This window comes from Homo sapiens, chromosome 10 (genome assembly GCF_000001405.40).
Source record: "Homo sapiens chromosome 10, GRCh38.p14 Primary Assembly".
NCBI classification, from domain to species: Eukaryota; Metazoa; Chordata; class Mammalia; order Primates; family Hominidae; genus Homo; species Homo sapiens.
The window spans coordinates 50986881-51002748 of record NC_000010.11 but is presented as its reverse complement, the minus strand read 5'-3'; the positions used below and the strand labels follow the sequence as shown (position 1 = coordinate 51002748).

Below are 15868 nucleotides of genomic sequence, written 5' to 3'. Positions count from 1 at the left end.
TCTCCTCAGCGTTAAATCACAAATGATGCCAGTAGCAAGACTGCTTCACATCCAGGCCCCTGGGAGGTTTCACATGAAAGGGGTCACAGACTGAATGAAATAGCCTTTTACAGGAAGGCTGAATGGCACTCTCTGAGGGAATATTGATCCAAAAATGTACAGCCCATTAGACCCAACCCACAATGTAACCCTGTGTGGTATAAGCCAGACTACTCTTTACCCTAAAATTTTTGAGAGGCAGTTTATATTCAGAGTAGAGTATCTCATAAAACACTTTGCTATTCTCTTAAAAATATTTAGATACATGTAAATAAATAATCATATTAACTTGATTATTAAAATATTTTTATAATGGGAATCTCAGATTACAATAGGCCACATTAAGATTTAATTAATTACATTCTAGAATCACAGAATTATCAAGGAGATCAAGCAACCTATTATGAGTTTCATCTAATAACTGATCTAATTTTTTCCTATAATAATTTTCTTTTAATTTGTTATGGGGGTAGAAGGGAGTGAATAGGAAGCCATTCCTTTAGTCTCCTCACACATACTTTTTTTTTTTTACTACTATTAATTTTCCATTATTTCTCTGTTTTCTCCTCTCAGCCAAATATAAGTCCAGAGGTTTCCTCATAGGGGTTTTAGGAATTTCCCAGAGTCAATGTTCAAAGAACTCTCCATGCAAACTGTACTCTTTGTTTCTCTATTCCTTAAGACAAACATCGAGAAGAAAATTTAGCTTTTTAAATATATTCCCCAAAACCACTACTAACTGGAAAAAAATGTAAGACCATATGTACTTGATAATACACTTTTCAAACTTATAAATCCTGATATTGAGAAAGTTATATATTTGACAATATATTTTAAAATTCAACTAAAAGCCATTTCAAACTCCTAGTGGAGCCCACAATTGTTAAATATTATACTTCTGCTGCCATCTTGTGGTAATGGTTGAAATCTCTCTATGTCTCCCCCTCTATCTTCTCCCCACCGTACCACCTCTTTTTTGTTGTTTTTCCTACATTTAGGAGGGTACTTCTACTCAAACCTTAAGGATTCCCTTTCTTAAGCCATAGGGGAGATGACCTGAACAATGCTCTAGAAAGAAAAGTGGATGTTTGCAAATTCCTCATCCTGTATGTAATATACTTCTTTTCTCCTTATATTTTTCTCGTTTAACAAAGCCATTCCTTTTAACAATATAATTTAATACAAAAAACACATAGTTTTAATTTGGAATAATCTAATTTTTTTTCTACAAGGAAAGGGAACAGATTAAGGGAAAATAAATGTGTATCCTATCAAAGATTTTTCCCTTCCAAACTTTTTCCAAATTGTTTCTTTACAAAGAAAGGAGTCGGGGGAAGCACCATGTATTTCTGCTATAAAATACCACATGATGGAATGGCTCTTCACAGCCACAGGCATCTACTGTCAGGAATCAAGAAGGAGCCTGGAGGAGGAAATGAGAGGCCTCGCTGTGGAGACAGTACGGGAAGTGAGAGCTCCCCAGGGAACCCAGACTGGATGGAAGTGGGTGCCCCAGCATCCTTTATTATTTCTAGGCTGGCCTCTTCAGCCATGGACCTCACTGTCTCAAGGCAAGAGAGTTTATAAATCTGAAGGAGGATGAGAGTCAAATGTTTTTCTGATGATGTATTAATGTGAGCAATTTTTAACCAGAATGACTTATCCTCAAAGCAAGAATATATTTCATGAAAACCACCATCTCCATCTAACTCTATGTCCCCACAGCAATTCCTATGAAGAAGTTGACAAACAGCATGCAAGGAGTCATTCAAACACAGATACAGAGAGAACTCGGCCAGAATTCTTCAAACAGGGCAGTGGGGAGCAAAAACACAAACAGGAGAACAATCCATTTCATTCCTTGTTGAAAATGACTTTAAAACAATCTTTCCCAAAACTTTCTTGTGTACCCTTATTGACATTACGCACAATCTGTATTTTTACACCTCATTCTTAAAAAAAAAAATCTATGAACTCTTAATACTTAGCCTTACCCTCAGCAACATAGCTACACAGCATGGATTTGATGTGATTGTTGTATGTTTTCTCCCAACACTTATTAAAATATCTATAACTATAAAATAAATTCACTTCTCTACCACATAGAAGCATCCCTGGTGCCACCAATTATATAAACATCACACTTTGGGAACCATTGTTATGAAATTCAGGTGCTGGCTAAGTAGAATCTAGTGAATCTTACATTTACTTATAAATAATTAGCGTTAAGTGACACAGAGTCAAGATTCTGATTTTCAGAACCATAGCTCAGATCAGAGGCTCTCAAACATTTTTTTCTGCAGTGATTCACAAGATAGATGACATTCCCATGTGCAACATACTCTTGTGAAAAGACAAGACTGTCTGTGGATTATGTGCAATTTCCTGCCATGTATTTGTAATCTTCCCAGTCAAGAAAGCCAACTGGAATGCAAGAAAATGGCTATCCCTCGGGAGGTGCCTGTGAGTGCACGCAATCTTATTTTTTAAGAAACAAATTATTCATGAATTTTGATTTTTAAGCCATTATTTACTCATTTCTACCTTACAACTAATCAAATACACACCATTGTCATGGCACCACAGTTAAACCTGCCAGAGTAAAGCACAGGATATTGGATTGAGTATTTTGGAGTGATATTTTTCTCTGAGAGGAGACCAAATGGAGTGTGAACTGGTTTTATTCTTGGGAAGGCTTCAGGATTTTTAAAATTTGTTTTTTAATACGTTCTAGATAGTGCTCCTCTTACCTCTTCTCTGAAAAGTAGCATGTGGGAAGAGAAATGTATGGTAAGCTGAGGTTTTTACTTGGCTGGAATTTTTACTGTAAACAGACCTGGTTTCTACCCAAGGGTTTACAACCTGAGATACAAAATAATTTTCTATTTGGAAAATTTTTAGCATATGTAGCCAAGTACCTTGGTGACCATGTGATACATGAAATTAGTATTATCTGCACTATGGGGGCAATGAGAAGCATCAAGAAAAATATTAACATTTACCCAAAGGCTTATAGATTTGCTTATTAGACAATAACAGTACCATATAGTTGAATAAATAGACCCACAAATATTTGCAAGAGGCAAACATACAATTATTTTTAGAACCCTATAAGGTTTTTGCCAGTACTTTTCCAGCATTTGAGGTCAGAGTACTCAAATAAAGACACATCTGAGAATTTAAAACACATTTTAAAGTACTCTCTAAATTGGACTAAAAAGGAAGGAGAGTCTGAATTAGGAATAAGTCCGAGAGGATAATTGAAGAAGTGTAGTTGCAATATACCTATTACAAATAAAACAGTCAAACTAAATCCTAACAAGCTGATTACAGTAGTCATCTTCCTGGATTTGCCTTAATAAATAAACACTCAGATGAAATCAGCACAGTCATGTTATCATCTTGCACATGAAAGTGCTATCAGTGGGTTCAAATACATAACAAAATCAATCCAAATCAAATCCTTGAATAACAAATTAACTGCTTAGGACTAATTTCCAAGAATATATAAAATCAATATGTACTAGAAAAAGGTTGAAGATGCGGCTAGCACACTGGACAGGAAAAATTACAGTGTTTTAAAACTTTTGAGTCAATATAAACTTAATATTGATTGAATTTAAAACTACATAATTTTCTAAGGTAGTATGGGTTTCTATCATATTCATATGTAAGAAACAATTTTAAAATGTTTAAAATAAAATCAACATAGTATACCCCAAAGTTGGTGATCCATCAATAATGTTTAGTGAGCAGTGCAGAGAAAGTTAAGCATTTTTAAAACGAACTCTGTTATTTAAGAACAGCAATAAGTAAAACAGGGAGATTAGTTTCTACTACCAGTCATTATATAATAAAACAAATCTATTTAAAAGACATACATTTTCTGGATATATCCATTTTGCAGGGTGCAAATATTTTAAAGCTTTGTTTTGTTGTTGTTGTTATTTTGTTTTTTGAGATGGAGTCTCTGTCATTTTGTCGCCTAGGCTGGAGTGCAGGGGCACGATCTTGGCTCACTGCAACCTCTGCCTCCCAGGTTCAAGCGATTCTCCTGCCTCAGTCTCCCAAGCAGCTGGGACTACAGGCATGTGCCACCATGCCTGGCTAATTTTTGTATTTTTAGTAGAGACGGTGTTTCACCATTTTGGCCAGGCTGGCCTCAAACTCCTGACCTAAAGTGATCTGCCCACCTTGGCCTCCCAAAGTGCTGGGATTACAGGCATGAGCCACTGTGCCCAGCCTAAACCATGTATTTTCAACATGAACGATTAATAAATAATTATTTCTGAAACCTTAGAAAATTTAAATTATATAATATCTGAGACATCTGAGAACATGAAAGATTTTAAGAGATTAGAGTAATAGTTTGAGTAAGAAATCTGCTCCATATTTGCTGTCATATGACTTGTGCAAATAAAACAGATCTAACAGGAGTTACAGATGTTAAGCCAGAAGAAATACAAGGACCCGAAAGAGGGACACACAACACAGGCAGATCCAGGAGCATGGAAAAGGAGAAGAAAAATCATCACTGGGTAAAAGAAGGATGAAATACTTCAACAAGGAGTGGCAAACACTGAATCCAGTACCTTTTTCCGGGCTAAGCACTGGGCTATGTGACTAATATGAAGCACAAGCATTTTACAAACTATAAGATGCTGTGATCTACTTATAATAACAGACCTAAGAAGTAAACCCTCCTTTCCATAGGAAACTGATTTGGATCAACCTAGAGGGTTTTCACAGTAATAATTATTATAAGAAATGCACATTTGTAAATTTAATAAAGTGGTGACAGTTTGACACGTGTGTATGTGTTCATATATACACACATATGTATACACATATTTTTCTTTTCCCTTAAATTATTATTTTTTACTTCCTCTTTTCTCTTCAGGGACCCAAAAGCACAGCACACCAATGACTCTAGACTCAAGGTCAGTATTCCTTTCTGACAATTCCCAAACTTCTGAGCTTTCATTTTTGTGAAACAGGATATGCTATCCCTGGTTTATCTCAGAGCTCACAGTAACTTCCAAGAGCTACAAGAAACCTAGATAACAAGGGTCCTGAACTCTGATAAGCAGATTCTCAATGGCAAATGAAAATAATTATTCATACCCTGAGCAACTATGAAATCACCTGAAAATCTTATCAAAAGAAAAGGTTTTAACGCACTCTCAGCATCTCTTACATGTTATGGTGAGAGGGCACTAGGAAACAGGACCGTAGTCAGGAAAGAGGAAAAAGATACGACATCTTTTGTTTTTTCAGGTCTGTTAGAAATAGTTTCATGAGGGTCAAATTTCCAGTGAATACATGATTAAATGTAAACTTTCAACCTGTGCATATATTGGTAATTCAAATGGAACAAGAACTCCTGGTGTATTAGAAATACATTTGGAAAATGCACAAGACTCTGGAACTTGAACTAACCCCAAAGCAAAATCAATGTGTCTTAAATAACAAGTTAAACAGATAAGTTGAAGACCTCAATTCACCAACTCTGGTACCGATGCAAAATAAAAAAACAAACAACCCAAATTTTCTTTCAGGTCTTATTTCCGAGATCCTTTAAAGGACACTTCCACGAGGATTTGCTCAGTTTTCTCATCACTAAAATCAAGACACTACCACCTCCTGTACAGCCTTGACTGAAAGCATGTATGAAGTGCTTATGCTCAAGCCCTGTCCTCTTCAAATCACATCTGGCAAGATACAAGGATGTTTACAAGCCGTGCTGCCTAAAAATTTTCCTTTCCCTTCCTCAGCCTTCCTCCCCTTAAAATCTTGTCAGAAATATTACTCAGCTGAGTAAATTAAATAAATATCCTCTCCCAAAAGCTCCTGTTAGCACATCACCACGTTCATCAGAAAGAGGTAACAGGTTAATATCTTGGCATATTATCAGCCAGTAATCAATCCATGTTGATGGTGGGAAAGGTAGGGATGAAGGGATTAGCATGAATGACACAAGTGACAAATAGCAAAGGGTATTCAAAGGAGGCAACCAAGGTCATTTTCACATCCTTCATAACTGTATTATCATATGCCCTGCCTGTAACACAGCACTGAGCTAGAGAAGTTGGATGAGGAAGGAAGAAGATGAAGGACTGGTAAATGGCAACCCCAAGAGCAGGGCTAACTGAGGAAATTCCAGCCTGGCACAGCAGATCCAATGGACATGTGCTAGATACAAAGATTCACTGGTCACTTTTTCATGAGGTTAGCCTATCATTGGCTCTAAGACTTTTAACTCCCATTCTAATTTAGGGAAGGTTCATTTCTTCCTATTTAGAAGGATTCCCCACTTACTAAACTAGAACCAGTCCTATTCCAAGTTCATATAGTATAGTGGTTGAGTACTTGGGCTCTAAACTCTTCGAGATTTAGGTTTGAAACTTTATGGCATTTCCTAGTAGTGACACCTTAGACAGGTGACTTAAATTTCTTCAAGCCTCAGATTCCTCGCCTGAAAAGTGGGGACGTCTTTTAGGGCTGCTGTGAGAAAATGATGAGCTAGTGCAGGTAAATAGCTCAGCACAGCTCTAAGATTGCTAAGATTAGCTATCTCTATTATTGCTTTCATTGCTATTTTATAGCATTGTGTATTTTCCACATGATCAGTTAATAAATAATTGACTCTGGACCCAGAATTCAGCTAAGACCTACTCACTTCATTGACCTTGCTTATATAAGAAGTAGGCCAAACTCCTTGATTTCGTCCTAAGGTCAAATCAAATGTGAATTGGATCAGAGAGACAAAAGGTAATGAGTTTTCTGGGGCATCCATCCCAAGGCATCCATGCCCCAGTGAAAGGAAGTTCCAGTTCCAAATGATCAATTTACATTATCAAGAATCAAGCGATTCATGACAAGAATAACTCAAATGTGTCTGGAATACGTCTATTTTTATTCCTGTAACAGATTAATATTGATTCTAGCCTTTCCTTAAACTCATTAAAAAATTGTGTGCGGTTCCTGAGCATACACTGGCTAACTAGGCAGCCAAAATAAGGAGTTTGGGTGTATGCAAAAAGAGTAAGGGAAAGGATTAAGGATAATAGGTAATTCTTGATGTGGAGTATATTCATTAAGAAAATCAAGAGTTCACAGAGATCTATGTAAAACACTTGGAGTTCTTTGGCAGAAAAACAGTATTTAAAATATAAATGTAAAATATCATCACCATCATCCAAAACAGCTTGCAGTTTTCAAAGATAATCACTTGATCCCTACTGGACATTTCTTAAGGGATCTAAAAATGAGTACCGCAATAAGTCGGATATGTTCTTTTTAAACATGATCATCGTATTGTACACTTGATACTTATGCTGAGAGCTCAGATCTTCCTTTCCTAGTATAATTTTCATCTAAGCATTCCTTAGATACTTAGATCATTCTTAATGGAGATTGTGCATTATACCCTCTGTGGACACATAGAAATCTGGCTAATTGGACTGACTAGATTACAGTCGTTAATGAATTCCATTTCCTTCGTCTACGATACATGCTTAAGATATTTTTGTCACCTATTACGTAAATTTTTAAGATTGTAATCATTCATTGAAGCAGTGTTTATAGGCAAAAGTTTTTCATCACTCTTTTCAATAAATAAAATTCCTACAGAGTCATCCTTCAGTATCCATGGGCGATTGGTTCCAGGACCTCCGAGGATACCAAAATCCACAGATACTCAAGTCCTTTATATAAAATGGTGTAGTATTTGCATAAAACCTACACACATCCTTTCATACACTTTAACTCATCTCTAGATTACTTATAACACCTAATGCAATATAAATTATATGTAAATAGTTGTTATACTGTATTGTTTAGAAGAAAAGGCTATACATGTTTAGTCCAGGCACAATCATTCTTTTTTTTTTTTTTCCTGAATAGTTTTGATCCTCAGTTGGTTGAATCCATAGATGTGGAACCCATGGATAGAAGGGGCCGACTGCACTTTCAGGCTACATTTCTGTTCTTGTTGGTATAAAAACTGGGTATTTTGATAAAGTTTGAAATGAATCTGTAGCATGAATAGTTATCATTCAAATGCTACAGAAATCATAACTGAACACAAGCTTTGCAATAACGCATTCTGTTTCAGCCCCAGCATGCCCTTCAGAACGGCACAGCCTTTTACAAAAAACAGGTGAGGTGTACTCGGGAGGCTGAGGCAGGAGAATGGCGTGAACGCGGGAGGCGGAGCTTGCAGTGAGCCGGAGATCGCACCACTCCACTCCAGCCTGGGCGACAGAGCGAGACTCCGCCTCAAAAAAAAAAAAAAAAAAAAAAAAAATTACAGGTGAGGTGATGGAATATCTACTTGTCAAATCCTTATCTGAACATTTTTAAACAATTTTTATTTTAAAAGTATCTTGTTTCATATTAAATATTGTATCCCAGAAATCCTTTAATAAATTATTTCCTTTCTTGGCCAAAATAAGGTATCTAGCCAAGGACAATTTAGTACTGTCTCTTTAAGTGCCAAGAAGAGTACATAATTCTAATGTTTACTCTCCCCATATATTATACCTGTCAAAACTTTTTAAACTCTAATGAGTCAGCTTGCTGAAAATAAACTCCACACTTCTATTTGAAAGTATGAAACTAAACGCTGAGTGGGAAAAAGTTTACCCTCACTCCCAGTGTAAATCAGCACAGAGAGGAAGTAGAAAAGTACTCCAGCTATTTGCTATAGACACAAATATGCACTGACGGCTACTGCGCATGATCCACTCATGATGAATGTTCCTACCCCTAACATGAAAATGTTGGGAAAGGGAGGGGAAGAGAGAAGGACAGAAGAAGGATGATGTGTGCATACCCAAGATTAGCCATTTCCTCCCAGTACATACAAACAACAACAACAACAACAAAACACCTCCTTTCATTCTTAGAGATTTCTTGCCTCTTTGAGAGCAAATCCTGAATGACAGTGGACTCTGGGAAGGAGGGCTTTTCTCCTGTCCCCTCCATATCCTGGTGAAATCTCCTCCCTGCTGCAAAGCGGTGCTGTTACTGTTCGAGGGGCATAGCCCAGACACAGAAATCTGAAATTTCAAAAATGCGATAAAGCCCTAGCCCGGCAGCCCTGGGAGGCGAGCAGCTGCCGGGTGACCGCTGATGAAGTGGCTTCTTAAGGAGGTGGGCAGATTGATTCCAGCTGCTGAGCGCAGGGCAGGGCAGCCGCTCGGAATGCACAGCCCGGCTGAGACAAGACTCAGCAGCAGCTTCCCAGGCAAGGGCAAGGCCAAATATTAGGTCTGTTTGCAGTCCTGAGAAAAGGAAGGAAAATGCCACTGTTCCATCCAACAGGGACTTTCAAGGCAAGATGGGCCCAAAGGTGCCATGTACACAGTGTTAATTCGTAAGTGGAATGTCACTATGTCACTCAGGAAATCTGAAAGCTGTCTTCTGAGATGGCTGTTCAGAAGGTCCCACAATTCCTTAAGAGGAGTCCTTTCTGCCTGATTCCTGTTTTTCTCCCCACTCTGGCTCCCAGCTCCTGGTCTTCTTCTAATAACTCTGAACCGCTGCTCAGCCTCCCTGGCTCCCCATCCCATATAATCAATACACAAGAGGGACTCCAGAGGCAGACACGGAGGAGGTGCAGTGGGCCAGTGGCAGACACTAAGCGCCCTGGAGCTGACCTGGATGGGGACAGTGGAAAGGACATGCTCTTCAGAAGAGCTTGCCTCAAAAGTGAGAGAGCTAAACGGAGAGAGGGGGACTAGTTTAGGAGTCCCCTGAGGGCCCCAAACTCAGACAGCAAATGATCTAAGAAGAGGGAAAGATTAAGAGAGGTAGGCGGGCATGAAGGCACTCCTAATGGAATATTCAATATCCTGAGAAATGCATTTTCGGCCCTGCACTTCCAGGGACTAAAAGCCAGTAATGGCTTTGGAGTCTGCACTTCCTCTCCCTAATGTCCAGAGGCGCTTTAATGCTGCAGCCAATCGATCAGCCTTCTCCGGTGAAGGCGACGAGTGGAGTGCAAAAGCTTCCTACTTGTGGCCAAAATCCACCCAGCCTCCTCTGCACACCCCAAAGGAGTGACATACAACTTTGAACTGGCAGGATTTGTCTCTTAAAGTGCCGGAGAGGAGGAAAGGAAGGAGCCCAGAGGCGTCCGGAGAAACAGCCTACCCTCACCCCTCCGCCTTCTTCATCCCAACTTTTCCAGGGAGGGACTCAGGGGAAAACAAAAAGGGAGGGCGCACTATCCACCTTGGGACAGGGCTGACGAGCAGCCTCAAATCTGCTTCAGGTGCAAGGTCACTGAGCGGACTCCAAACCTAGAGCAGCCTTAGGTGTTGAACTTCTGGAAGAGGCACAATCAGAGCAAAGAAACGTCCAGAAGGTGGGGTTTCTTTGCAATGTCTTGCTGACATCACAGCTGCCTTGAAAGTGACCCTGTGAATAAACCTCTCCCCTCCTCGCCCCCACGCTCCAGGCTGGATCCCTGCCCTAGAGACAAGCCCCTGTCCCGCCTCTCCCTGTCCCCGCATCCGCCAGCAGAGCTCGGGTTCTGGGCAAGTTCAGTCCCTAAGTTGAGCCCAACCCTGTCCAGCCTCCAGTCGCCCCTCCCTAGGAGGCTCGGACAGCCCCACTGAGCATGTCCAGTGGCCTGAGTCCGGGGGGTCGCCGCTGGGAAGCTCTCCAGGCCCCTGGATGGGCAGGGTTGGGTCCCTGCGTGGACGCTCCCAGCGGGGCGCACGAAGGACAGCCGCGCGACTGCAGCCATGTGTGGAGGGCACAAGTTAGCCCGCGCGAGTAAACTTTCCGCGGTCCTCCTCCCCACCCCCACGCCACAGGGGCGCGTCTCCCCGTGCAGCTCGCCTTTCCCAGCCCGGCGGAGACAAGCACAGCACGTGATGGGCAGAAATAAAAATAAACACTTCCCATTCCCGGGCCGCGGGGCCACCCCCACTCCGCGCGCCGCAGCGAGCAGGGGGCGCCCTGGGCCGACCCGCCCCCGCCGCCGCGGCCAGAGCCCCCAGCCTCTGCGCCGCGGGCCGGGACGAGCGCCCGGGCCCACGGCCTCCGCGCCTACCTTTCGGACTTGGTGAACTTCCGGAATGCCTGTCGGAGGTCGTGGAAGGACCTGTACGTCTGCGGCTCGGCCGAGATGCCCTGCGCCCGGGTGGTCCGGGGGCCGATGTGGGTCGAGGGCACTGGGAGCACCGACTGGCATTTGTGGAGTTTCCTCTTCAGCTCCTGAATTTCTTCCTCCTTCTCTGACAGCCGCTTCTCCAGCTCTTTGATCCTCTCCTCCTTGAGCATGAGAATCTTGGCAAAGTCTTCCTCTAGCTCGCTCATTTTTTCACTGAGCCCCTCCGCGAAACTTTTTCTCGGGCGGCGGCGGCGGCGGCGGCGGCGGCGGCGGCTGGGACGGCAGCCGGCAGCGGAGAGCGCGGGTGAGCGAGTGAATGGGCGCTAAGTACTCGAGCGCGGCGGAGTGCGCCCCTAATGCGGCGCGGGGAGCCTCCTGCTTCGATCCGCTTCTGCTGAATGGACTAAAAGCACCGAGGGGAGGATGAGAAGTCTAAAAGCGATGGAGAGGAGAGGCAGAGTGCTAATCTCCAGCCTCTCTGGGGAGTAGGTGATTATCTTTCATTGAGAAACCAATTAGAGCTGCCCTTCCTCCCCTGAGACCCCCTCCCTCGTCCCCCTCTCCTAGTCACTCCGTGAGAATACGCGCGCGCCACCCCACCGACAGCCGAGTTGCTAGCAGAGGGTTGGATCAGAGAGCCTGGTCCCACTCCATCACACAAAACTCACTCTTCCACGCTGTATGGTACCAAGGGAAGGGGGTGGGGTGGGGGGGGGGAGATTTATGCCACTTGATCCTTGAAATAGCAACAATTACCATGTGATCTGGCGGATGACGCAGCGCTTGTAACTGGATCCTAAAGAGTGTGAGTGTGTGTGTATGTGTGTGACATTTCGTAAATATTAAACTGCCTTTAGACAGTAACCTGCACAAATTCATCTTGGTCTTTGACTTTTACTTCTTTTCTATTTTTGATGCCTGGATGGATTCAGAAAGGAAGGCGTGTGTGTGTGTGTGTGTGCGTGTGTGTGTGTTAGTTACTTTGAAGTCTCATGGTTCTGACCCTAGTAAGAATGACAGGGCAATACCAGTTCCAAGGTTTTTCAGCGTAAAGCCTTACTGGACAGAGTGAACTAAAATTGTTGGTGGGGAAGTTGGATGAACATAGGGTAATGAGCCAAATGATTACGGAAAAGAGAAAGGCCATGTGTTAACTGTAAACTTTTTGTGTCTGGCTTTTTTTCCATCTACTACCCTTCAGTCTTGTATACAGAGCATCCAAATTATATCACAATCTCTTCCTCAATGGCTCAGAAGTGGTGGCCACCAGTGCTAAGCTGGGTCACACTACCAGTTCCAGTTTGGGGGAGAAATTGCATCTTTAATTATCTGTGTTTAGGTCTTACCTGTGCATCCACCATCTACCCTATGCTAAAAGGATTATTCTGCACAGTAGAATAATCGCGTATTCACGGATTCTTACAATTTCCTTTTTTATATCTATCACAGAGAGCATTTACATAACATAAGTCACTATTTGAGAGTTTGATTTGATAGGGAATGAGAAGTATTTCTTCTGATAATAGTCAACACATTGGTAATTTTTTTAAGGAAAAAAATAGTTGCAACTAAGATACCAGGAGATTCTTTCCTAAATTGTAACTTTTCTTAAAAAAGAAAAATCAATGTATAATTACTGGCTACTTACAAAAAAAAAATTATTCTACCTTTTCTGAAACAACTAAATAAAGGAAAAACAGGTGTATATTTTATTCTGGAGATTTATTATTTACTATTCTACTTATCTGATTATTGTACATTAAAAATGTTTTAAACCACATCTGAATTTCTTAATTGCACCAGATGCTAAAGTCTGGCTATGTCTACTGATGTTTGAGAAAGGGTTCTTAGTGTTGTTGACAGTTGCTATTCTGTTGCTTCTGTCTATGAACTTAATCTGCTATTATCATTTTACACACACTAAAATAATTGACATTTAAAAATAATACATTAGAAAAAACCTTTGATCACATTCAAAAATCTAGGCATAGCTTTAACTTTATTTACAGAAGAAAAAAATAGTTTTAAAATGACTCTTAAAAGGTTTTTTCCAAGTCTTACACTATCTTAAATGAAGATATTCAAATGTTTCTTCTGCTTATTAAAAAATAAACCTTTAAACTTAGATTTCACGCATGCACCTCAAAACCCAAAATTCATCCCCATCTTCCAAAATAAAACTATTTTTGAATAGGTCAGTTTTAATTTAAATAATGTTGATTGCTAGTGACGTTAAATCTTGTCCATTGGCTTAAGAAGTATTTAATTTAGACCACAAGGAAAGCTTGAGAAAAGACATGCTGGTAGAAGAATAAACACTGAATTATTAAAAAACATGTCATAGTATATTACAGCTGAAAGAACTTTGAAGATGATCTAACCCAACAACCTCATATTACAAAGGAGGAAAATTAGATCTTGAGAGGGAAAGTCCAAGATCACTTCAAGGGCAGAAGTTTGAGTCCAGGACGCCTAATACCCACGAAGCATGCTTTCCGTCCCATGCTGCTCCTAGCCTAGATCCAGAAAATTTAGAAACTCTATGATTCTGATGATCCAGTGTTGAAAGATGTGACCTTACTTTCTGTTTCTTACTTCTAAATCTGTAGCAGTAATATGTCAAAGCAGAGAATTAATGAAACCTTAGATTTTTTTTTTTTTCTTAAAGGACAAGGTCGCCATCTAGTGCCCTTGGAGAAATTTGCTAAATAAAAATCTTAATCACAACTAAGTTGGGGTTATGTCCTTAAATACCTGTACTGGTGTTTTCATTTCATATTTGTGAGAAATGAAGAAAACAACCAGAATTTTGTGTCAGACTAAAAATCTTTTTTTTTTACATTTAATATCTTTTAGCCTGGATGATGACAATGATGATTGTCAACATTTATTATTTAATACGTGCCAGCACAGGGCTAAGCCCTTTATGTAATTGATTTTAATCCCCACACTTACTCTGTAAGATAGGCACTATTACTCATTTCTGTTTTATAGATGGAGAAACTGATGCTTGGCCAGACTAGATAATTTGCCCGTGGTCACATTGTCCAGATTTGACCCAGGCTGTCTTAATACCCTATGCAGCGCTGCTTCTACTCAAAATGCATTAAAATATTCACTTCTCTGTGAGCCCGGTGACAAGCAAAACTAAAATATCTTTCTTGCTGGGGACACAGTAAGTGTAAAATCACATATAAACCCAGAAAAATTCATAAGATTCTGGTGTCTAACAATCAATTTCCTTACCGAAGTTGTTTTCCTAGTGATATTTTGGGATATATTATACATTTCATATATAATTTCAATTTTTAAGCATTTGTGCTTTCAAAAATTATGATTGTGTTTTGCCTCCCTTTCTCTCTTCTGTCTAATAAGGAGCACTTTCTAGAAAGGCTGAAAGTGTGTAAGATGTAAGCAGCAATTCCGGGATTCCTGTACTTTAATCCAGGACAGCGTCACAGGGGCCATTGGGAGGACAGGTCTGTAAAAAACTTAGAAACAATAATAAAAGTGACTAAAAGTCAATCTGCTTTTTATTGTCTCTATTTACTAGAAGTTACAAATATCAGTAATAAAATATTCCTCCTCCTCCCAAAAATATTCTCTTGGTCTAAGTACAAAGGATTACTGTGTTTACTGTTGAGCAGGTGGACCACTCTCATCACCCCACCCCTTGGAATAATACTGACCTTGGTGCATATTGTACACATTCAGACCAAAGGAAATTATCATGTGCAGTTGGTTAGAGTGAGGTTCACATGGATGGCAGCAGCCCATAAAAGAGGCTTGGGGAAATGAAAATAGAGACAGGGATCTGAGCTTGTGAAACAGGTAAGGATTCACAAAATTCAAACCATATCTTTATTCCCAAATACTTGCTGTGGTTGTAAAAAATGGCAATACCTGTGAAAAACTGGAAACAATACATTTTGCACCAACAGATGCAATTGGTGAACTAAAGAGGACTGAATTTAGAACCAAAAGATTGATATTCACATCTCAGTTCTATCACTTCTTGAGCTGTGTGCCCTTAGGCAGATTCCTTAACTTCTCTGAGATCCACTTTCATCATTTGTAAAAGGAGAAGTTACCTATGGTCCTTTTTACCTTGCTACCTTCAATGGTTCTATGGAACTCCACTTTCCCTGTGACTCACATTCTGAAATTATCAATCTGTTCTTACAGACAGCATCCATCCAATAACTTCAGCTATGTTTAAAACTTTGAGAGAAGAAAGAGTTAAGATGGAGTCTGGTTGGTCCTACGAAAATTACAGCGTACTTTTTGATTAATAGAAGATTATTTTCCATTAATTCTACATCATACTGGATGTGGCTTTAACATTGTCACCTGAACCAGCCATGTTGTTTCGATCATAAAGAGTGGTTGCACCTTGAGTAAGATAAAATCTTGAAGTCCTGAAACACACCCACATTGACATTAACCAACACACAGAAGATGAAAATGGCAAATGAAGTGTTGCCTTAATTAAACAAACTTCAAAAATAGTTCGTTTCTGTTTTCTGGATTTCCATAAAGAATCATAAGAGTTATTTATTTTTTTGAGACGGAGTCTTGCTCTGTCATCCAGGCTGGAGTGCAGTGGTGTGATCTCAGTTCACTGCAACCTCTACCTCTTGGGTTCAAATGATTCTCCTGCCTCAGCCTCCCAAGTATCTGGGATTACAGGTGTTTGCCACCAGA

The 15868-nt window shown here is 40.4% G+C and overlaps 1 protein-coding gene across 1 annotated transcript in view, besides 1 other annotated feature; it reads right to left on the bottom strand.

Annotated features, from left to right (window-relative positions):
- PRKG1 (protein kinase cGMP-dependent 1) overlaps positions 1-11861 on the bottom strand; it is a 1307463-nt gene extending 1295602 nt beyond the window's left edge. Inside the window, exon 1 of the mRNA NM_001098512.3 lies at positions 11105-11861. Coding sequence (NP_001091982.1) covers positions 11105-11370 — 266 coding nt within the window. The 5' untranslated portion in view covers positions 11371-11861. The remainder of the gene's footprint in view (positions 1-11104) is intronic.
- Positions 10286-10786: an enhancer, noted in NCBI's record as "H3K4me1 hESC enhancer chr10:52751723-52752223 (GRCh37/hg19 assembly coordinates)". NCBI's record gives its function as "activates a minimal SCP1, AML or CMV promoter by ChIP-STARR-seq in naive H9 embryonic stem cells {active_cell/tissue: H9 hESC(naive)}" and the evidence as "EXISTENCE:reporter gene assay evidence [ECO:0000049][PMID:30033119]".